Source organism: Homo sapiens, chromosome 6 (genome assembly GCF_000001405.40).
Source record: "Homo sapiens chromosome 6, GRCh38.p14 Primary Assembly".
NCBI classification, from domain to species: Eukaryota; Metazoa; Chordata; class Mammalia; order Primates; family Hominidae; genus Homo; species Homo sapiens.
Genome location: NC_000006.12, coordinates 89,472,321 through 89,497,355, shown reverse-complemented (window position 1 = coordinate 89,497,355; position 25,035 = coordinate 89,472,321). Strand labels below are relative to the sequence as shown.

General features: G+C 41.6%; 1 protein-coding gene and 1 pseudogene across 15 annotated transcripts in view; both read right to left on the bottom strand.

Moving 5' to 3' along the window:
- Nucleotides 1-25,035, bottom strand: part of ANKRD6 (ankyrin repeat domain 6) — a 200,683-nt gene that overhangs the window by 136,479 nt on the left and 39,169 nt on the right. For 7 of the 15 annotated variants that reach the window (XM_005248681.3, XM_047418398.1, XM_047418401.1 and 4 more), the window contains exon 1: nt 13,798-14,082. The exons of the other annotated variants lie outside the window; for them this stretch is intronic. The gene's annotated coding sequence lies outside the window, so the exon portion shown is untranslated. Of the gene's footprint in view, nt 1-13,797; nt 14,083-25,035 lie in introns of those variants that run through there. 15 annotated transcript variants of the gene reach the window in all.
- On the bottom strand, nt 18,923-19,211 carry RN7SL11P (RNA, 7SL, cytoplasmic 11, pseudogene; annotated as a pseudogene).

Genomic DNA, 25,035 nt, shown 5'->3' with positions numbered 1-25,035 from the left:
CAAGGAGGATAACAGTCACAAAGCAGGAGACAGGTATGCTGAGTGAATGAATGGATGAATAAAGAAATAGTAGTTTAAAGCTTCAAATTCAATTTTAAATATCCTAAATGATCAGCCTGTACCAAAGTAATTTTTGTAGATTCAGAAAACCATGAATGGAAACCTGGTTTTTGTTGCAAAGTAATTTTTTGTTTGTTTTTTAAACTTTTGGGAGAATCTAATCTGTTCATAATCACCTCAGATCAAACCTACCTGATAAGGAGGGAAACAATTAATTTGAAAGTTCAGAGAGAAAGCATCCCTGACAAGTTGGAATTTATACAAAACAGAAAAGAAGAAGCTATAAACTCACCCAGAGCAGGGGACATTCTGTTTGGGGTAGAAGCTTTGGCTGCTGCAAAGTAAGAAGTGGAATAATTTTTCATCAATATTCTCAGATGCTCTATTAAACAATAAAGGTGAGTGTTTATGCTTAGATGTTATGACAAACTTCTTATTTGCAGACCTAAGTTTTCCAAATTCTGAAACATAATAAAAGTTTGTTGTCACTTGAAAACAGACAGTAGGATTTAAGTTTTATCTTTCTCCCGGATCACCTGAGATCAGGAGTTTGAGACCAGCCTGGCCAACATGGCAAAACCCCATCTCTACTAAAAATACAAAAAATTAGCTGGGTGTGGTGGCAGGTGCCTGTAATCCCAGCTATTCGGGAGGCTGAGGCAGGAGAATTGCTTAAACCCGGGAGGAGGAGGTTGCAGTGACCCGAGATCGCACCACTGCACTCCAGCCTGGAGAAGAGAGAGAGACTCCATCTCAAAATAAATAAATAAATTAATTAATTAATTTTATCTTTCCCCAGGGCACATCCCTGAAAGGGCAAAGGGAGAAAAGACAGACTTCCTGGGCCTGGTCCCGACGGTACTACCGGCATATCTCTGCCCACATCTCTGTGTTTACACGTTGACTTCAGTGAGTTTCCTGCAAGCTTGTTATCAACAGGATCCCAGCTGGTAATTTACTCTGCCCTCTGCCATTTAATCATTCCAACAGAACCTCACTTACGGCGTACCCTAGAAGACCTCACACCCCTTCACAGGCAGAATTCTGTTCTGTTATTCATTCAAACATTGTCTTCCCAAAGGAAATTCCTAAGTACTTTAATTATGGTGGGGGGGGGGGCAGTGTGGAAAAAAGCTTGCTAATCCCCATTGTCAGTGTTCCTGAGACCTGGAGAAGCACAACTCCGGAGTCTTCATTTTGTAGATGGGAGACAGGCTTAGTAAGATGTCCTAAAGACTGAAGGTGGCCACCAGTTAGCTCCAGGATTCTTTCTCTTTCTTGGGGGCCCATGGAATTGCATATGAACATGTACACTGGGGTCAACAGCATGGACTCCAAATCCTGATGCCACAATTACTACACAAGAGAATGTGCGCAAGTCAGAAACTTTCTGAGCCTCAGTTTCCTCACCTAAAAAAAACAGAGATAATACCTATAACTTGCAGGTGGTTGTAAAGGTAAAATGAAATAAACAAAAAGTGTCCTAGACAGCATGCAGCAAAGGGCTGGTGTTTGATAAATGCAATTTACTGAATGCAATAAATTATAATGAGCTGAATGTAACATAATTAAATTACAGTATTGAATTCTTACAAAGCCCTATGAGAGAGTTTGTTTGATAAGTAAAAAGCACTACTTTCTCATCCCGTAGTAGAAAAATGAGCCAACGGAAGAGTACTGAAAATACTAAGAAAGTAGGGCTTCCCTACACCTGAAACATCAGCAGGAGCCACCTGCAGAGTTGTAGAGTTGATTCCATTTATATAGTACCTGTCAGAGTCCCAGACACAACACAAGCCGACATCTACGTGCAAAGAGGTGAGCCCATCAAAAGAGCTGTACTGGGCTCAGCCCTGGTCCTATCTAGAGATTAGGTCAACTTGGGGTCTGAGGGCAGACAGATTCCTTCCCTGCTGTGGAAGAGATCCCCTCTACCCTCCTCCCAGAGGTCCAGTCCTGAAGTTGGACCAGTGCTCCCCGAGTCATGGGGTTCATGCCAAATCATGGCCTTAGAAAAGCCAGTTGGTTCTTCTGTTTTGTTTTGTTTTGTTTTGTTTTGTTTTGAGATGGAGTCTCGCTCTGTTGCCCAGGCTGGCGTGCAGTGGCACAATCTTGGCTCGCTGCAAGCTCCGCCTCCCGGGTTCATGCCTTCTCCTGCCTCAGCCTCCCGAGTAACTGGGACTACAGGCGCCTGCCACCACGCCCGGCTAATTTTTTGTATTTTTAGTAGAGGTGGGGTTTCACTGTGTTAGCCAGGATGGTCTCGATCTCCTGACCTTGTGATCCGCCCACCTCGGCCTCCCAAAGTGCTGGGATTACAGGCGTGAGCCACCGTGCCCGGCCTTGGCTTCTTATCTGTCACCAAAGGTTCCAAGACCAGGCCCCAAACCAGTAATCAATTTATTCTTCCCACATAGTGACTGATCTAAAATTCTCTCTGATGTGGTAATGAGTTTCCTAACATCAGTCCTTGTGGGTGTTTTATTTTTCCTATAGGTTGAATCCAAACAATAATCTTCAGGCAGAAGTAGGCGCCACTTTCCAGGGGGCTGGAAAGCAGGGTGCCCTCTAAACTGCTGTCCTCATGAAGGCACACTGCAAGGATGGTGTGGATAGGCAAAAAAGATTGGCTGCAGGAGTTCAAGCCACTTCTGTAATTAGGCAGCAGCTGCATGCAATGTTGAGGTTTCCCCACCAGGACAAGCTTGATTGCTGATAACTTCACAGTGAAAACCAGGTTCCTATTAATGGTCTTTGTGAGTATGCAAAACACTGCTTAAAGGATTGTGACAGAGACTTCTCCTTGACCAAACTTGAGTTGGACTCTTCTGGGCCCTCTTCTTGACTTGGCTTCAGTATTAGTCCCCATCCTTGCCAGGCCTGCACAGCCCAGTGTTAGCAAGAATCCTGCTAAGTCAGTTTAGAAAGAATCCTCCCACCCCTGATACTTGATCCCATTACTATCTAATCAAATTCTTCATCCCCCAGGTGACATCTGATCAAGAGTTATCTGCCTTCAGCAGGAATCCTGTTAGTTTAGCATGAATCACCCAACCCTTGATGTCTCCTCTTAGTAATCTTCCATCTACAGACCCCCATGGCCTTTTCCTTGGCTACCAACGCCGCTCATTTTTTTTTTCTTGGTAGAGAGGGGATCTTGCTATGCTGCTCAGGCTGGTCTCAAACTCCTGGTCTCAAGTGATCCTCCTGCTACCACACCTGGTCCTCCTACTCACTTGTGTTGTATTCAGAGTTGAACCCAATCTCTCTACCCTAGTGCAACTATCTTGACACCTAGCAGGATAATCCTGAATAAAGTCTCCTTTACCATTTTAACAAGTGTCAGAATAACTTTTTCTTTAACAATTGTAGTGGGTTGAACAGTGGCCCCCAAAAAGTTATGTCAACTTCCTAATGCCTGAAACCTGTCAGTATTACCTTATATGACAAAAGAGTGGATATCACCTTATATAACCCCCCGAAATGTGGTTAAATTAAGGATTCTGTGAGGAAGGGCTTATCCTGGATTATCACAGTGGGCCCTAAATGCAGTCACATGTATCCTTATAAGAGACAGACAGGCTGGGCGTGGCGGCTCACACCTGTAATTCCAGCACTTTTTTGGGAGGCAGAGGTGGAAAGACTGCTTGGGCCCAGGAGTTCGAGACCAGCCTGGGCAACACAGTGAGGCCCTGTCTTTACAAAAAAAAATTTAAAAATTAGCTGGGCATGATAGTGCATGCCTGTAGTCCCAGCTACTCAGGAAGCTGAAGTGGGAGGATTGCTTGAGCCCAGGAGGTCAAGGCTGCAGTGAGCTGAGATCATGCCACCGTATTCCAGACTAGGTGACAGAGCAAGACCCTGTCTCAAAGAATAAAAAAATTAAAAAAGGAGAGGGAGAGAGAGAGTGAGAGTTGACACACAGAGACACACAGAAGACAAAAGGAAGTAAAGATGAAGGCAGAGATTGGAGCCATATTTCTCAAGCCAAGAAATACATACAATCCCCAGAAACTGCAAGAGGCAAGGAACAGAATATCCCCTAGAAACTCTGGAGGGAGCAGGGCCCTGCAACACATTGATTTTTGGACTTCTGGCCTCCAGAACTCTGGGAGAATATATTTCTGTTGCTTTACACCCACCAAGTTTGTGGTAATTTGTTACAAAAGGAAGCTGATGTGAGGACTGAAGTGTGAGTCTACGTCTGCAGCCAGCTGAAGGGTTATGGAGCCATATATTCACACCTATCATTTGACATTTTTACAACAAGCTTGAATTATTTCTATTATAAAAACTAATAATGAAAAGCCATAAGCCATGAGTATATGTGGAATTTGGGGCATGGGGAAGGGCAAAAATATAAGAATGTGTCATGCAGCTTAGGAAGACAGCTGAAAAGACACAAGACTTTCACCGGCTATTTCTCAACTGGTAGATATAAAATTTAATTAGGTCCCAAAATGTACTCATTCTTAAATTCTAGCTCACTAAAGAAAAAAAAGGTACCAAATGGTCCAGTTCTTCTAGAATGGGGAGGGCCTGTTGTGAATCTCTGAAAGAGGCATGGACTGGTTTCATGTTACGAACCTCTTCACCTGGCTTAAAGATGTTTACTACACCTCACAGGAATGAGTATACATTAATTGATCATTTCAAGGACATAAAATGCCACAAAAATATATCTGTTTAGGAAAAAGCAGTGAGAAGTGCAGGTTCAAGAACAAAATGCAGAAAGTGGCTAAGGCAACCCTCTAGTGGGGTGTGCGTGGTTGTCTTCAGCAGGCAAAATCAAGGAGCATTTACATATCAGGGAGCATTACTCTCCCTGCAAACACACACAAGTACAGCCACCTGGGTAACAAACAAACCTCACCCTGTGTTTTTTGCTGGGTCACCCGGTGTTAAGAGCCATTACCTAAGAGGCAGCACAATGAACTACCAAATGATCCTCTACAAACAAGGAATTACTCAAACCATCACAAAGGCACCAGGTCAGCTACATGCTTTCCAGCAGTATCTCCTGTCATGCCTTTCACAAAATCCGCGCTCAGGCCAGGCTGCTCCCTTCTCTCTTCCCAAACAGGGCTCTGTCTCCCAGCCCCGGCGCTCTCTCCAGAAATGCCCTTATAGGGAGGAAAAGCATCTTTCCTTACCCATGCTAGGTTCATGGCTGAGGCCCCATAACAAAAGAAAGATTAACCAGAGAAAAGCATGCACATTTATTCAATGTAAGTTTTAGGTGACGTGGGAGTCTTCATAAGGAAATAAAGACCCAAAGCAATAGGGAAACATGTATTTTTTTATGCTGGGTATGATGAAGAAGTGGAGAGCGATGAAGTATGATTGGACAAAGGCGATAGGATCTAATGGTAATAGACTGGAGGAAACACAGCACGACCTGTTTGTGCAGATTCTTCTCTGTGACCCTTCATCTTCAGGGAGAATTACATTCTTTTCCTCCAGGTATAAGGAGAGGACTTTTTTTTTTTAATTTTATTATTTTTTTAAATTATACTTTAAGTTCTAGGGTACATGTGCACAACGTGCAGGTTTGTTACATATGTATACATGTGCCATGTTGGTGTGCTGCACCCATTAACTCATCATTTACATTAGGTATATCTCTTAATGCTTTCCCTCCCGCCTCCCCCCACCCCATGACAGGCCCTGGTGTGTGATATTCCCCTTCCTGTGTCCAAGTGTTCTCATTGTTCAATTCCCACCTATGAGTGAGAACATGCGGTGTTTGGCTTTTTGTTCTTGCAATAGTTTGCTGAGAATGATGGTTTCCAGCTTCAACCATGTCCCTACAAAGGAGAGGACTTCTTACATAAGCATCTCAAGACCTGCTTCAGGGAAAGTTCAGACAATTCTTCCTAGATTGTATGGACGGCTTCAGGGGAAAAGGGCAGGGGTTGTGGGGGAAGTAAGAGCAACCCTCCTATATCTGCAGTTTTCTCAAGTTTCTTCAACTTGAAATATTTTGGGGTCACGTGTCCTGAATCCCAACACCATCCCTTCTGTAATTTCGGCCTATGAAAATCCAGACCATGTTCATTTTCTAGGATTGTCATAACAGATTACCACAAATGTGGTGGCTTGGTACAACAGAAATGTGTTCCCTCACAGTTTTGGAGGCCAGGAGTCCAAAATGAAGTTGTCGGCGGAGCTGTGTTCCCTCTGGAAGCTCTTGGGGAGAACCCTTCCAGCTTCTGATGACTGCAACAACATTCCTTGACTTGTGGCCTCATTATTTCAGTCTCACTCGTCACATGGCCTTGTCCTGTTCTATGTCAAGTCTCCCTCTGCCTCTTAAAAGAACACTTGTTGTTAGATTTAGGGCTCACCCAAACGATCCAGGATGACTGCCTCATCTTAATCACATCTGCAAAACCTTTTTTTAAAATAAGGGAATATTCACAGGCTCCAGGGCTTAGGACATGGACTTATCTTTTGGGGGGCCACCATTTGACCCACTACACAGGCCAAGCGGAGATGGCACTTCTCCCCAGAAGCCTTCCCTGCTCTTGTTTTCTAAACCGCAGAGGTGAGTTTTCTCTCAAAGACACACCCTGCAGCTTCTCACAGCTGTGTTTGGTCCAGCTGAATCAGCCAGCCTGCTGCTTTTCCAGAGCAGGGCCTCCGGAGCAGGTGCTCATTAGGTAAGGAGGATGTAACCAGGCATCCTCACCACTGCAGTCACCACTGTGTCACAACAGCCTTTTGCACCTGTCTCCCCGCTATCATCTGAGCATCTCCAGGGCAGGGCCCATGTCACTCATCTTTGTATCCCCCACACCTCACCACAGTACCAATAAACAATAAGGGCTTCAATGACATCTGATATTTGTCGAATAAAAGAATCTATCTGTATCACTCACACAAAACACACTGTTTTGTACATTGCTACTCATTATGAGGTATCACGTATTTGTGTACTACACAACACCTGGTGGGGAAGATAAATATTTACTGGATTCTCCCAACAATCCCTGTCAGTTGCACCCATAAAACTGATTTGAAGACCCAGTAATGGGTTGAAAACCACAGCCGAAAAATCACTGACTGAGGTGATTGCTAAGGTCTTTTCCAGCACTAAATCCTACGATGACCAACAACTAGAAAAGCAAATGCGCATGCAATTGAACTGGATTAATCTGGACCAATCTGAATGACCAGAAAACTAAGGAAAAAATGCCCATGTAAATGCAAGGTGCTTAGATGCCATTGGAAAAAATAAAAGGTGACTCTTGGGTAGCATACAATTAGTCATGTTGTCTGCATGGGAATAAATTTGTTAAACAAAACACAGTGGACAACCCAGGACACAGAATCCCTGAGTAGCAAGTGGCCTAAGAGTTCTGGTCACTCTTGTTGAGTGTTGGTTCCTTCATCACTAAGCCTTGCTGAAGTCCACCCCAAGTCACAAGGTCTTCATAAAATTCTCATTAATAAATTTAAAGGGCTCCACAGTTCATGGAGCTTTCCAATTACCGTTAGACACAGGCTTCACCAGGCCAAGCCTGCCCTGCGGCCTCCTCCACTCCATTTCCTCCTGCTCACCATTCTCTAGTCCACAGGTCCTCGCTCCTGTATCCCCAGCTCCAACGAAATGGGCATGCCTTGCTCTCAGCACTGTCCAAATCCCCATTATATATTACCTGATACAATCCTAAGGTAGTCTCTTTTCCAATGATGTTTTTATGTTGATCTGGAATTCTAGAAGACCAAAAACTTAGAAGATGCAAAAGACCAAACTTCTAATCATGAAATTTTAGGCATAGGAGACTGAGTGGAGACATTTAAGGAAAATATTTTCTGGACTTCTTCAAAATATACCAACTGGGGAGCCAGATCTGTACCTACTTGAGAGTGAGCCAGCCCTGGCTACAGATATATCAATCTGTGGGCAGCTGGCATCCTTAATAATGAAAAACTTCCTTCTGTTCTGTCAAGAGCAGAGACAAAGACATGATTCAGGGGCACTCAAACTGAATTATTGTCCTCGTTTAAACTTTCCCACTCAGGCAGAGCTGTCAGCTGCAGCAGCCGGTTCAGGGAAGGACCAAAGTTCTCAAAAGCAAAGCTCTTCAAGTCCCCAGGCAGCCAACACAAAGAGCTCTGCCTTGATTTCCTGCCCAGCCCTGTGGCACTGAGACCCCTTCAGGAGCAATGCCCTGGACATGTACAGCCTGCCTTGGACCCGGTACCAAGAGGAAGGCAATGTGCGACGCATGAGACACGTTATCAGTCAACCCACAGTCCTAAGAAACCACCTCTGGAATTGGATTTTCAAACGGGAGGTCATGGCCCATTTGTGGGTCATGAAAATAAGTTAATAGGTCACAAGCAGCATTTTAAAGAATGAACTAGAATAGAATAGAATAGAATAGAATAGAATAGAATAGAATAGAATAGAATAGAATAGATCGATATATTTTGGGTGGGAAACATTTGTTTCATTTGTGTGTATGTTTATATATGTATGTGTACATACTGGGTCACTAGTTCTCATAGTGGGTCACAGTTAAAAGTTTAAAACCCACTGTTCTTGATCAAAATGAGTCAAGTATTCAATCAAAAGAAACAATATAAATGTAACCTATATTTCTTTTTGGAATGCCAATAATTATCCAAAGTACCTTGGACAGTGTCTAAAAACCAAATCAGCCTTTACTAAGCATAGCTCTGGGGGCCTAAAATGTATTTTCAGAAATCTGAGAATCCTGAATGAGAATTTTTACATTCTATGTTCTTAATGAGAATCTAACAAACTGAACATATTTGAGATCAGCTGGATGCCTCCCTCATAATTGCACTGTCATGTGGTTTGTTTTTATTTATTAGAGACAGGGTCTCACTCTGTCCCTCAGTCTGGAGTGCAGTGGTACAATCACAGCCCACTGCAGCCTCAAACTCTGGGGCTCAAGCAATCCTCCTGCCTCAGCCTCCTAGGTAGCTGGGACTGCAGGCATGTGCCACTACACCCAGCTTCATTATGTCATGTGTATTAAATGCTCACGTTTGAATTTGTGTTTATAATCAAATGCAGGTGGGTGGACTGCTGAGAACAAAATGAAAGCAGGCTTCCTCTGGCAATACTGCACTGGATACAGGTGAAGGCCAGGCTGGCTAGGTCACAACATGCTGTAGAGAGGGCTCTCAGTCATCCAAAAAGAGACGACAGGTGGGAGAATTGAGTCACCACCAGGCACTTGGTAGCACAGGCAAGCTGAACAAGCATCCTGGGCCAGGACTTAGTATCAAGTAACAAAGGTTACACTGTGGATCTTACCTCTGTACATACCAACTTGCAGCAATTTCTTTGTGGAAAAGTAAAAGTAAATACAATGAAATAAGTGATTTTTACACATCACAGAATAAAAAGACTGACTTGCTATTTCACAATTTATGTAGCTAATTTCATGCACTTTTCCCATCATGTTACCAAAGATCATTTTTTTTCTTCCAGTATGTCTAGACATTAAACTAGGTTGCAGGGAAGAGAGTCTGAGGACTACACATTCACATCCTCTCACACATAAACATTCCTTGATCAATGAGAGAAGGTGAAGCACAGGTGAAAAACCAAGCGTAGGTGAGCCACCTTATTCTTTTCATTTGATGGCGAAATGCTTTATGTGATTTGTTTTGTGGCTAATTCATTTTCATAATAATGCTTGCCCCAGAACAATATGAAATGAATTTATATTCCAAATTATTGGAATGGGGAGGTCCCACAGCACACAGAATGTTAGAAGGAAGACAAGCTGAATTTTTTAATGCTGAGAAAAGTTGGTAGGAGTGAATACTGAGACAAGCTTCCTGGAAAGAAATCTAGCAATATGTATCCAAAGCTTTAAACTGCTGTTTGTTCTTTGGCTCAGAAATTCCACATTTTAAAAATGATCCTAAAGTAATACTCTGCATGTCAGAAAGAATTTAATTGCAAGAATCTAATGCCAGGGGATTTGTTAGTGGGATGTATGGTCATATAATCATGGTGATGCTGGTGCTGATAAGACGATATTTAATAGATACTAAATGCTTATTTTATGTAAGGCTCTATTCTGAGCACCCAACATCTATTATCTCATTTAATTCTCAGAACACACCAATGTGGTTGGTATTAACATTCTCCCCATTATACAGATGAGTAAATAATGCACAAAGCCATTCAATAATTTGCCCAGTTAATAAGTGTCAGGGCTAAGGTATGAACCCACAGGGTCCAACTCTAGGACCTGTACTCTTCGGCACCATCCTTTCAGTGAATTACCAGTAGCTGCTATGGACTGAATGTTTGTGTCCACCCCCCAACCCCAAATTCATATGTTTAAACCCTAATCCCCAGTGTGATGTGATTTGGAGATGGGACTTTGGGGAGGTAATTAGGTTATGAGGGTGAAGCCTTCACAATGGGATTAGTGCCCTTATGAGAAGAGATAACAAGAGAGCTTGCTTCCTTTCTCTCTGCTCTACAAATGTGAGGACATGGCAAGGAAACCAGGAAGAGGGCCATTGACAGAACTGAACCAGGGTGGCTCGCACCTCTAGCACTTTGGGAGGGCAAGGAAAGAGATCGCTTGAGCCCGGGAGTTTGAGACCAGCCTAGGCAAGATGGTGAGACTCCATCTCTACAAAAAAATTAAAAATTAAAAATATATTTAAAAAATTTTTAAAAGAACTAATCCATGCTGACACCCTGATCTCAAATGTCCCAGCTCTCAGAACTGTCAGAAATAAATTTCTGATTGCTTAAGCCACCCGTCTATGGTATTTTGTTATAGCAGCCTGAACTAAGACAGAAGTCATGTAAAATTGTGTAATACAATCATGTTACAAACATGGATACATTCTGAGAAATGTACTGTTAGGTGATTTTGTCATGTGAGAACATCATAGAGTGTACTTACATAAACCTAGATGGTATATATATTTTTATTTATATAATTTTTTCATATATGTATATAATCAAATGTCCCAGCACCATTACTGAATATCAATCATTTCTGCTACTTGATCTGCAATGCCAATCTCAAGTGCCACACATCAGGTTTCTACACAAGCTCCATCATAATCTTTTGGGACCACCTTCCTATAGATGGTCTGTCACTGGCTACAAAGTTGTTATGTGACACATGACTATATGTCTCAGAAACAATACATGAGATATTACAAAGTGAACAAAGAAAGTTGTAAAACATCATACATTATGACCCCATTTTTTAAAAATGTTTTAAAGACTGGCAAGATATGTATCAAAATGTAGTTATTACTGATATTTTTCTTAGTTGAATTTTCTTTAAATAAATTATTTTTATAGGGAAAATAACACATTAATTAAAACGCATGCTTCAGGTAATAGAACACTGTAGTTATTAAGAGTTGTATATATGCACAAACATCACAGCAAATTTCTGGTGAGGATTAGTAATAACTCACCTTTGCTTTCTACAAAAAGACAATCCAGAGAGAAGCTTTCCTGTGTGACTTTCATTTAACAGCACTTCACTATCAAATAAGGAGTAATTTAATCATGCCAACCTACCAAAAAATTTAGACACCCCAGGAATCTTTTTTCCAGACCAAATCCCCTTCTGCCTCGTCAGAGTTGTCTAGATGGTTCCTGACAACAGGCAGCCGGATTTGGGTTTGCAGGGCAGCACTGGAGGCTCCAGAGACCCCCTTTCCCAACAGATGGGACAGCACCAAGCAGCAGAGAAGTGTGAAGAGGCAGCTGCCCTTTGTTTACAGCAGAAAAGCCCAGGGCCTTGGGGCAAGCATGTGGCCACAAACCCACTGCTTCCCTTTGAGGAAAGAATATAAGGATAATCCAAAGCCAACCAAAAAACCCAGGTCCAGCTCTGCACCTGCTTTTGAGCCATATCAGTATTTTCTGTGCTTACAGTAGAGATTTCTCCCAGCAACAAAGCTCTGAATCTGAGTTGCCACAGCCGCATGTCCTGACCCAGCATTACTGGGTATGACTTCACCCCAGAAAACATAGCGTTCAATGCTAAATGTGAGAGACAGACACTGAGCGTATTGGCATCACATTATTTTAGATGCTTGCCAATACTCCACTTATGAACTTGACAGTAACAAAGCAGGAAAAACCTAAGTAATCATCTAGTCCAGTGTTACTCGTAGGGGTGTCATTGATATTTGGAGTGGGCCAATTCTTCATTGGGCTGGGTGAGACAGTCTGGGGCATTTCAAGATGCCTAACATCCAGGGTTCCCAAACCATTAGTGCCCCCATACAGTGTGGCAACCTGACATGTTCCCACTCAACATTTCCAAGGGCCCCTGAGTTGAGAACCATTGATACAGTCCATCACTGAGGTCCAGAAGACATTCACCTAAGGCCACCTAGGTAGCTAGAGATAGAGCCCACGTCTCAAAACACTTTGTTTAGTATTCTTTCCACTGTACCAAACTCCACTAATTAAGTTCATTAGAGCAAAAGACATTTAAAAATTAAGAATAGATTTCACACTCAATAACAGAATTTATGGCTTCTGGATAGAAGACTGACTGCTTGAACTTTTTTTTCCAATCTCATTATGGGTATTCTGGAATGTAAACATAATTCTATTACTGTAATTACTTTTAAAAGAGCAAAAATGTATCTGAATATTCAAGGCTTAAGGATGCACACTGTGTACTGAACTCATATTGCAAAAGGCATCTGTACCAAAGACAGAGAGATCTGAAAACATTTGTATTTTATTAAGAAAATGTTTTCTTTAAAAGCACCATCTCTGTAAGCAGTTAAGGAAGTGAGTCCTATGTGGGAAAACTTTACCAAACAAAACCTTTTACTTCAAGATTTTTTAAGATCAAGATTTTCCTCTTACTCAATCCAGTACTCCTCATTCTGAATATGAAATCTCAATTTATATTTTAAATAATCGCTGGCCAGTTAGTAAAGGACTTATAAAAAAAATAAGCCCACAGCATGACAAAGACATATATCCTCTACCCTGTGGTAAGCGCATCACGTATTTCACAATTCACATATTGAATATAGGACACTGAAGTTTCAGAGGAAAAAAGAAAAAACACTTCAAAATATTCATTCTTGGCCGGCCGCGGTGGCTCACATCTGTAACTCCAGCACCTTGGGAGGCTGAGGCAGGCGGATCACCTGAGGTCAGGAGTTTGAGACCAGCCTGGCCAACATGGTAAAACCTCATCTCTACTAAAAATACAAAAATTAGCAGGGCATGGTGGTGGGCACACCTGTAATCCCAGATACTCAGGACACTGAGGCACGAGAAGCGCTTGACAGAGGTTGCAGTGAGCCAAGATTGCACCACTGCACTCCAGCCTGGGCAACAGCACGAGACTCTGTCTCAAAATAGGTTAGAGAGAGAGAGAGAGACAGAGAGAGAGAGGAGGACTACAGAAAACACAATGCCAAAAATAAAATTATCCTTCAGAAATATCAGGTAAAATTCAAAAAGTCCTTTGAACCTTGTAGCTAATCTTGTTCTTGTAAATGCACATACACGTGCACAAATATATCTCTCTGTTTCTCTCCTTACATAATTCAAATTAATAATCACCTAGTAGTATTCATTTTCATTTCAAAAACCTTTAAAGGACCTATGTCTATATCCAGAAAAGAGCGCATTCCAAAGAGAACACTCCCACTCCATGCAGCTGGGAGAAGCTTGCTGTCGACAACCACAGTGCAAAATGGAACAGTTTTACAAGAGTGAATACTTACGGGGACTTCCCTCTGCAGCTGGGATGGCCCAGGCCTCACAAAGGCAAAGCCATGGCCCTCACAGAGCCAGGGCTTTGTGTGGGAAGGCGGGAGGGTCCACTGGGGAACAGCCTCAGGCCTCTCTGACATTTACATGTCAATGGCCAAACCAAAACTCTTCCAATCCTCCACCCCAGCAGATTCTCCACCCCAGCAGCTGTGGCACCCTCTGACAGCCAGGCCCTAGGTTTTGTTCTTCTGCCTTCTCTAAGGAGCCTTGAATCCGTGGGCTGCCAGCATGCATTTGGCAAACTCGTTATGAGAGATTTGTCACCCTCTTCAGAGCCCTGGGCCTAAGTAAATACATCAGCAATCTACCAGGCGGGCTTTTCAAGTCATCCAAGGACACTGTGCTGGGAGAGAGGAATGCTTTAGATAAGACCCACTGGACAGAATCAGAATTCCAAAAGATGTCTGGGTCTGGAAAGAATGAGCCCAAAGGAAAAAAGACAACATTTCAGAGAAGCATGTTACATCTTGCACTTAGGCTCAAAAAGCAACTGGTCTGGAGTTTTGGTTTGTTTATAGATCAATATGAGACAATGGTGTGATGTGGGTGCCAAAAACAAGTTAACAAACTCAATTTTAGGATTCATTATCAGAAATACATTATTATGAACAAGTTGGTGGGGACTCGGGAGAATAGACAGTCTGTGTACTATTCTACCTAGTGGAGTAGGTAACCAGGAGGGTAACTTCCAGGAATCCTGTCCAATGAGGAAGAAATCATTTGAGGGTGGGAGTAGGGGTATGACCATCCTCAATACATGAAGGATACAAAGAGTAGATTTATTCTGGGGGTTCCAAACAGCAGAACAAAGGAGTGATGATTAGATGGAGACAGTATCTACACAAGGTGGGGAGAATTTCCAACAATGAAAAATTCCGGCCCCTGTGCATTTGTGGGCAAGGGGCCTTTCCTGCAGGACTGGGGAGAGGGTAGCCTACGTAGTGGGTGCTGGGAGAAGCCAGTTAGGTTTCAATGACTTCCTTAGTGGCTGATACAAAGGGACCCCCTTAAGAAAGGAATTTCAGGATTTTTAGACCTGGAAACAAAATGACTATGAAATAAAAAAATTGATTTAAAAAGCAACATAATCTGTGTAATGTAGAAAGAATGATTTATACTGGGATGAAGCCACTCTTATAATGCTCAAAAATAGTCCAAGCATTAGTCATTTCTGAAATTATAAAATGCAGATCTACGGCCATTTATTTTGGTTTGAAAATAGCAAGGTTGGCTCACTGGATCCCATTCCCTTAAATTCCTTTTCCTTTTCCCATTTCTCAAAAAGCTGCTGATATAATTTGGGCCACTTACAGCACTTACATTTACAAAGTGTTTTATAGTGAATTGAATGTTATAAATATTTCAAAGGGCAGAATCTCACTGCTGGTCTGGGACTTAGAAGCAAAGGCGGGGAAGGAGTTCCTAGGAAGTGCCTTCTGAGTGTGTGAGCAGGGGCTTGGATGGACACCAGCTATTTCCACCTTATGAGGGGCAATGGTAAAAATCTTTCCTCCTGGAAAGCTCATCTTTCTGTCTATGTTATGAGAGAATCAAAAGAGGTGCTTTGACCCACACTGCCCTCTGGCACTGTTCTGGGTACAAAGCAGACTTGGATGTGACTTTGTTAAGCTTCATCACATAGTAGAAGGCAGTGAATGCTCAAATCACCAGCACCACCAGTACCACCAGTACCAGTGCTATCAGTGGTACAGTATCAGCACTGCCAATAGTACCACCACCAGCAGCAGTACCACCACCAGCAGCAGCAGCAGTACCACCAGCACTGCCAGCCGTACCACCAGTACCACTACTGCAAGCAGCACAACCAGCAGTATTCCTGCCACTACCACGATCACTATTGCTAATAACATTATTATAAAACAGCTATCAACATTCCTCTTTTTCTAAAGTCAACAGAGGAAATGCACATGACATGTGTTACACATAAAATTTTGATCATTACTGACAAATTGCCCTCTAAATAGATTATACGGTTGAGTATCCTTTAATTTGAAATGCTTAGAATCAGAAGTGTTTCCGATTTTGAATTTTGGGGGGTTGGGGAATATTTGTATTATACTTTGAACATATCAAATCCCAAAATCCAAAATCTACAATTCTCCAATAAGCATTTCCTTTGAGCGTCATGTTGGCACTCAAAAATTTCTGGATTTTGGAGCATTTCAGATTTTCAGGTTTGAGATGTTCAATTTGAACCAATTTATATTCCTACCAACATTGTATGAGAGTACCCATTTTGCTATGTGGCCACCAACATGGATATAACTACTGTTTTTACGTTTTTGTTTTATCTTTAAGAGCTAAAGTGGGGGATGCTCATTTTTGTTTACTTTGTATTTCATTTTTTGTTAACGAAGTTGAGCATCACTGTATTTTTTAAATGCAAGGAAAAAATTTAGAGAAATATGTCCTAAACTGCAGACCATGGTGGGTTATCTTTGTGGGGTAGGATTATGGGATACTTACACTTTCTACATTGTGTGCTCCTATAATATTTAAAATACATATAACTTTGCTTCTTCTTCTTCTTCTATTTTTTTTTTTTTTGAGACAGGGTCTTACTCTGTCACCCAGGCTGAAGTGCTGTGGCACAATGATGGCTCACTGTAGCCTCAACCTCCTGGGCTCAAGTGATCGTCCCACCTCAGCCTCTCAAGTAGCTGAAACTACAGGCATGCACCACCATGCCCAGCAAAAAAAAACAAAAAAAAAATGTAGAGATGTGGTCTCACTATGTTGCCCAGACTGGTCTCAAACTCCTGGCCTCAAGTGATCCTCCTGCCTTGGCCTCCCAAAGTGCCAAGGCATGAGCCACTATTTCTAGCCAACTTTGCATTTTTTTTTTCTGATTTTTAAAAGTAAAATTTTTAAAAAGTAATTAGTGAGGAGGATATCTTTTTTAAAAATATACAAAACTATATATACAAAATATACAAAAAATATATAAAATATATAAAAAATATACAAAATATATAAGTAGCCCTTGATGTTTATTACTTTGTTAAGTGACTAAAATGTACTCATACTCACTTTTGAGATGAAGGGAACAATACAATCCTTGCTGGCAAACCCTCCCCTCACTGGGACAGAGCACCCTGTCATTCCTGACCTGGCTCCTTCATGCGCCCCTATTCCCATGTGTCACCATAACTGCAGTTCTCTGTTACTCTATTACAGTAGATATGCTGCCAACATAAATGGGATTTTGAGTCTGGTGGAGAATGCAGGAGTCATTTTGAAAGACACACAAAATAGAACAGAAATAGCTCACTTGGAAGGCTGATCTTCTGGGATAGTTACCTTTCAGACAGACAACAATCTAGGAGAGTATGAACAGAGGCCGATGCAATATACACACCAGCTGGTGAGAAACCAGCACAGAAATTGTGTGGGCAAGTTTGTGACAGTATTGTGCCCTTTATAAAGCAAGTTTCTTTTAGGTGGAGGAGGAACTTAAAGAAAAGGGGTTCTTCATCACACGTGATACAAACCAAACTTTACTTTCTAGGAAAGTTTCAGTCTTTAAAAGCAGGAAGTATTAAACTGTTTTAACACACCCCAAACAATATAAAGACTATAATAAATCAAATTAATTTGTTAATAAATTTCACTTGATTATTACTGAGAATGTCAGTATTTTTGAAAAGTAAGTAAACCTTTTTCATACTGTAATTCTATTTCTATGATTCAATCACTAAAGAAACAATTCTAGGGGAGGCGGGAGGGATAGCATTAGGAGATATACCTAATGTTAAATGATGAGTTAATGGGTGCAGCACACCAGCATGGCACATGTATACATATGTAACTAACCTGCACATTGTGCACAAGTACCCTAAAACTTAAAGTATAATAATAATAAATAAATAAATAAATAAATAAATAAAAATAAAAAATAAAAAAAGAAATAATTCTAATTATGGAAAAAGGCTTTATGCAAAAAATGTATGCTACAGCACTATTTATAATAACAAAACACTGGAAACAGAACATTAGGGGGACTGCTATCCAATAAAAGAAGATGATTCAATGAGCCAGGAAAGCTCCATCTGGTAGAATATTATGCTGCCTTCAAATGATGTTTCTGGTTTCATATTCTTGTCTCAGTAGTGGTACGTTGCTGAGAATCTATCCTAAAGAAATAATCCAAAAACACAGGGAAGTTCTCATTTGTAAAAATGAATAACCGGAAACATCCTAGTGTCCAATAACAGAAAAATAGTTAAGTAAGCTCCCAGTGGTTCTTCAAAATTCAGCTCAAGTGATACATCCCCGGGAAATCTTCCCTGACCCTTGCCTAACCTAGCCTCCCATGATGCCCTGTTTATCGCCCAAAATTGCACAACCCCAGGGTTCTTTATGCACATGCCAATCTAGGTACCTTCGAGACAGAGAACTTGACTTCTTTGACTTAGTATTCCTAAACCTAGTGCAATGCCTAGCACAAAGTAAATATTCATCCAAATGTCTGCATTATGTAAACTGGGTGGCTTAAACAACAGAGACTTACTGTCTCACAGTTCTGGATGCTAGAAATCTGAAATAAAGGTGTCAGCAGGGTAGGCTACTTCCGAGGGCTGTGAGGGAAACATCTTTTCAGGCCCCTCTTCTTAGCTTGTAAATGGCCATCTTCTCTATGTCTCTTCACCTCATATTCCTTCTATGTATGTCTCATTTCTTTTAAAAAAATTTTTTTTTTAATTAAGTATTTTTCCTCTTTTTTTTTTTTTTTGAGACAGAGTCTCACTCTGTCGCCCAGGCTGGAGTGCAGTGGTGCAATCTCAGCTCATCCCAATCTCCGCCTCCCAGGTTCAAGCAATTCTCCTGTCTCAGCACCACCCCGCCCCCTCCCCGCCTCCTCACCCCGGCTGGGATTACAGGTGCACACCACCACGCCTGGCTAATTTTTTGTATTTTTAGTAGAGATGGGGTTTCATCATGTTGGCCAGACTGGTCTTGAACTCCTGACCTCAGGTGATCCGCCCGCCTCAGCCTCCCAAAGTGCTGGGATTACAGGCGTGAGCCACCGTGCCCGGCCAATTAAATTTTTTTTTTAGAGACAGGGTCTCACTATGTTGCCCAGACTAGAGTGCAGTGGCTATTCATAGGTGCTATCCCACTACTGATCAGCAAGGGAGTTTTGACCTGCTCCATTTCTGACCTGGGTCACTTCATCCCTCCTTAGGCAACCTGGTGGTCCCCCACTCCTGAGAGGTTATCATATTGATGCTGGTTTGGACACCCAATTGGCATAGCACACTACTGCCCAGAACCCCTGGGTTCAAGCCATCCTCACACCTCAGCCTCCTGAGTAGTTGGGACTACAGGCATGAACCACCGTGCCTAGCGAATTTCCTCCTTTTATAAAGACACCAATCATATTGGATCAAGGTCCACTCTACTGACCTCATTTTAGCTTGATTAGCTCTGTAGAGATCCCATCTCTAAATAAGGTCACAATCTGAGGTGCTGGGGATTAGGACTTCAACATATGAATTTGAGGACAGAGATAATTCAATGCACAATAATCAGAAAATGTGCATATTTATGAGTTCATAATTATACAGAAATGCCTACTTTATCACGTTTAATAGGGGGAAAGGGTGGGTATCAATGTATGTATATGGTAAGACTTCTATTTTTTCTTTTTTTTAATTAAAAAAATTTTTTTCAACTGGCCACTTGGTTGAAAAAGAATTCTTTTTTTTTTTTTTTTTTGAGACGGAGTCTCGCTCTGTCGCCCAGGGTGGAGTGCAGTGGCACAATCTCGGCTCACTGCAAGCTCCACCCCCCGGGTTCATGCCATTCTCCTGCCTCAGCCTCCCGAGTAGCTGGGACTACAGGCACCCGCCACCACGCCTGGCTAATTTTTTGTATTTTTAGTACAGATGAGGTTTCGCCATGTTAGCCAGGATGGTCTCAAACTCCTGACCTCATGATCCGCCCGCCTCGGCCTCCCAAACTGCTGGGATTACAGGTATGAGCCACCGTGCCCAGCCAAAAAAGAATTCTTAATTTGGATTTTTTCAGATTTTTAAAAAGGTCCATGACCACCCCCTAATTAAGAAACAATGATGGTGTATGATCTCAAATTTTTTTTTAAGAGAAAAATATGTGAAGGTAATAAACCAAATTATTCATGATGTTTGCCTCTAGGTGATGGAATTATAGATGACTGGGATTATTTCTCAATTTACAGTAACAATTTCAAATTACTTTCACCAGAAGAAAAAAAACCTTTCACCGGCTGGGCACGGTGGCTCACGCCTGTAATCCCAGCACTTTGGGAGGCCGAGGTGGGTGGATCACGAGGTCAGGAGATCGAGACCATCCTGGCTAATACGGTGAAACCCCGTCTCTACTAAAAATGCAAAAAATTAGCCGGGCGTGGTAGGGGGTGCCTGTAGTCCCAGCTACTTGGGAGGCTGAGGCAGGAGAATGGCGTGAACCCGTGAGGCGGAGCTTGCAGGGGGCCAAGATTGTGCCACTGCACTCCAGCCTGGGCGACAGAACGAGACTCCGTCTCAAAAAACAAAACAAAACAAAAACCTTTCATATTTTTTAAAAAAGGAAAAATGATATTTGAAAAGAGTTTAAAACATGTAAAAATGAATGTTGTTCACAAATAGCATGGTTGCAGACTATAAAACAAGAAAATAAAATATTAAGAAAAGACAGGAAGGAAATACATCCTAATGCTCACAGAATTTATTAACAGGAGTTACAGGACAATTTGTATGTGTCATCCTATTTTTTTGTGTCTTCCAAATTTTTCTATAAGCACTGTATTACTTTTATAACCACATCAAACCAATCAACCTTATCACTTAAGAACATGCAGTTTAAGTATCTAGTTTTATATTAAATATTCAATATTAAGAACTGAATTAACAAAGTATGGTATAATAACAAAATACAACATGCAGCTTTTAAATAGCCATGATGAAAGATATGGAGAAACAGGAAACAGCTTATAAGACAGTTTTGTGGAAAAAGTCAAAGATAAAAATACACACATATTGGCTGGGTGCCAGCACTTTGGGAGGTCAAAGTGGGCGGATCACCTGAGGTCAAGAGTTCGAGACCAGCCTGGCCAACATGGCGAAATCCTGTCTCTACTAAAAAAAATACAAAAATTAGCTGGCCATGGTGGTGCACGCCTATAATCCCAGCTACTCGGGAGGCTGAGACAGGAGAATTGCTTGAACCCAGGAGGCGGAGGTTGCAGTGAGCCAGGATCAAGCCACTTCACTCTAGTCTGGACAACAAAGCAAGAATCCGTCTTAAAAAAACAAAACAAAACAAAACAAAAAAACAAAAACACAAAAACATACACATATTAATTATAACTGGTAAAATATATTCACATGTAGATGATAATCTACAAAAGATGAAAATGTATCAAGAGTGGCATTATGCATTATTTTAAAAGATTCTTTAATATTATAACACTTTTCATGTAAAAGTACCTATGAAAATGTTCTTTGCTAAAGATACCTGTAAATTGTTTCACACTGTCTAAAACAGCTTATAGCCATACCAAGAATCCACTACTGTACTAGAAAATGGCAGGCAAACTTGAGGTTTGTCAGGCTTCCCACAAACACTCCCATAATACTTCATTCAACTCATGGTTGGTTTCACTTTCACTGTGGGTGGATGTGCACATGGGTACAACCTTTCTGGAGGACAATCTGGCAGTATTTGTTAAATGTTCACTCTCTTTGAGCATTTCCACATCTGGGAATCTGTCCTATGAAAACAATGCCACACATGTACAAATCCAAAGGTGGTGAGAACAATCACCTCATCTATCTAGGACAGTGGGAGGCTGGGGGCTGTGAGAGGGACAGTTTCATTCAGAAAAGCTATGGAGAGAGATCTAGAATAACTACTAAATTTAAAAACCTATGCAGTTATGATTTGTTGCCCAGTTTTTCTATTTTCTTTGATGTCTTTATTTTTGGCAATCAACCAGAAATAAGGGTGTGCTACAACTCTGCATGTTCCAATCATATTCATGCCAGTACAGATATGCTAACAAACAGAATCAATTGAAATAAGCAGGTTTTAGATTGTTTTCTGTTTACCTCCTAACTTCATAAACAGAATTTAGAATATGGCAACTATTTAATTTGAAAACAGGGATGTGATGAGTCAATTTGAAGACAGTCATGGAATAAGAGTCATACGTGCATGACTCTGATATTTTTGCTTAAGTAAGAAAGGTCCAGATTTTAGGTTTGGGCTCCTTGGGTTTGTTTCTTAAATAAGTTGTATTTTCATGCATCTATTCATGTTTTACATAGAGCGTTTTGGGTGCTGCTTTCTGACAACTTAAAGTGAGACAAATTTCTCATTATATATTGAGCCTCTTTATGGTTGACCCAAAGTCCAAAAATTCTGATCAGGTCAAGAATATAGGTTAAGCTAAACTTGGAAAATAAGTTAAACTTGGAATACAAGAATATAAGTTAAGTTTTACTCTGGCTGTAAAGGAGCCAAAGTAAAAACACAAATAATTTCAAATCAAAGTGAAATCAACACTAGATTTCGCACTGTCTAGAACAGCTTATAACCGTACCAAGAATCCACTACTACACTAGAAAATGAGAGGCAAACTTTAGGTTTGTCAGGCTTCCCACAAACACTCCCATAATACTTCATTCAACTCATGGTTGGTTTCACTTTCACTGTGGGTGGATGTGCACACTGGACTACATCCAGTGCAACACTGTAGTGGGCAGTTTTCAGATTTAAAAAGATGAGAAAGGCTGGGAGCGGTGGCTCACACCTGTAATCCCAGCACTTTGGGAGGCTGAGGCAGGTGGATCACAAGGTCAGGAGATCGAAACCATCCTGGCTAACACAGTGAAACCCCGTCTCTACTAAAACTACAAAAAATTAGCCAGGCGTGGTGGCAGGCGCCTGTAGTCCCAGCTACTCAGGAGGCTGAGGCAGGAGAATGGCATGAACCCAGGAGGTGGAGCTTGCAGTGAGCCGAGATCCCGCCACTGCACTCCAGCCTGGGTGACAGAGTGAGTCTAAAAGTTATTCATGTTAGATATCCTCAGATTGAAATGCCTTTATGACCTCTGTTAATAATTTGTTTAGGGATCACTGTACATTCTGAACATTTTTTCTCTACCTCAAGCTAATGACAGCTACAGAGATGTGGGAAAAAAGATAAAAGAAGTTGGGTGAGCTGTGTAGCATCACACACAGCTCTCTTGTCCATCAACACCCTTCACTGTGAGGTTTTCTGGAAGAATCTATAGGCAGTGTGTTCACACTCTAGGCACAGGCTATCCTGGGAGGGTGTCACTGAACAAGACCCAGTAAGTTTTCAGGTGTTTTGTTTTGTTTTGTTTTGTTTTGTTTTTTTGAGACAGGGTTTCAAAAGGTGAGACAGTCGTCTATTTGGAGAAGTTTGACACATAAACACTGCCACCTGTTTCTCTTTCATCTATGCCATTACAAATTGAAAATTTTTGTTTTGTTTTGTTTTGAGACAGGGTCTCACTCTGTTGTCCAGGCTTGAGTGCAGTGGCACGATCTTGGCTCACTTCTCACCTCTGCTTCCTGGGTTCAAGCGAGTCTCCTGCCCCAGCCTCCCAAGTAGCTGGGATTACAGGCATGTGCCACCACATCCTGCTAATTTTTTTTTTTTTAAGTAGAGATGAGGTTTCACCATGTTGACCAGGCTGGTCTCGAACTCCTGACCTCAAGTGATCCACCCACCTCGGCCACCCAAAGTGCTAGAATTACAGGCGTGAGCCACCACACCTAGCTACAAGTTGACAGTTTTTAAGCCTAAACTCTCACCATTAACTGGACTAACAGTGCCTGAAAACAATGTTTAGAAAAATCATCCAAATTGGTAACATAAGACATTACTTTACAAAAGTATAATGTTGTTATACTTGATTAGTAAACACTATATTTTTGGTATGCAGAAATTTTCTGGTGAGACTTAGATAATCTTTAAAGGATGAGAATAAAGATGAGATTTAAAAGGAAAAGTAAACAAGAAGTAACACCTTTAGAGTAAAAATTACTTTTTCTTTCTTTCTTTTTTTTTTTTTTTAGACAGAGTCTCACTCTATCGCCCAGGCTGGAGTGCAATGGTGCGATCTTGGCTCACTCCACCGCCAGGTTAAAGCGATTCTCCTGCCTCAGCCTCCCGAGTAGCTGGGATTATGGGCATACGCCGCCATGCCTGGCTAATTTTTGTATTTTTAGTAGAGACAGGGTCTCACCATGTTGACCAGGCTGATCTCAAACTCCTGACCTCAGGTGATCTATCCACCTCAGCCTCCCAAAGTGCTGGGATTACAGGTGTGAGCCACTGCTCCTGGCCAAATTTTTTTTAATGAAACAATATGCTGTTAAATAAATTCTCTAGACCTACAGCAATGGCTATGTAAGATTAAAAGGTATAGGCAAGGGAGGAAAAACTTATATAGCATGCCTGAATTTGAAATTTGGGATGCGAGATTAGGGAAAAAAAATCTAATAATCTCCGATTTAAAGAAACTCTATTAAATAAAAAGTATAAGTAGTCCACCATGAAAACACAGAGCAAGGACAGTGACCATGCGGACAGTGACCATGGGGGTGGATGGGAGGCTGGGGAGCAGGCAGTGACCACCGTTCCTCTGGGGCTCTTCCTAGCCACGTATGAGCCAAGGTAACCAGGGCACCGGCAGAACCGTCTCTGAATGGGATGAGCTCCAGTTCACAGGGCCAAGGCAGATACTCCAACGTGGGCCAGTGAGACTGAGTGGTCTTTCAATTTTTAAGCCTAATTCCCTACAGGTAAGGTAAGGTGCTTATTCAGTTTAGATTAGAGCTCTGCCAACAAGAACTTCTATAAGCGTTCCATAACTCAGGCTAGTGGTTAATGGTACAGAACACAGTGGTTTCAGTGGGTGGCAAAGACCCAGGAGTCAAGAAATAGAAATCATAAGTGTAGTCAGATCTTTCAAGGAGGTTAAAGTAAAACAAAATTAGACAAGGGAGCAAAATTCAAGTTACAGACTTTACAAAGTAGAAAACCAACAAAATGATTTCCAATGTATATATTACATATCCCAAAGATCCAAGAAAGTCAAATAAACTATTTGAAACAATGTGGGAGCTTAACGGGTTGCTGTTATGGATTGAAT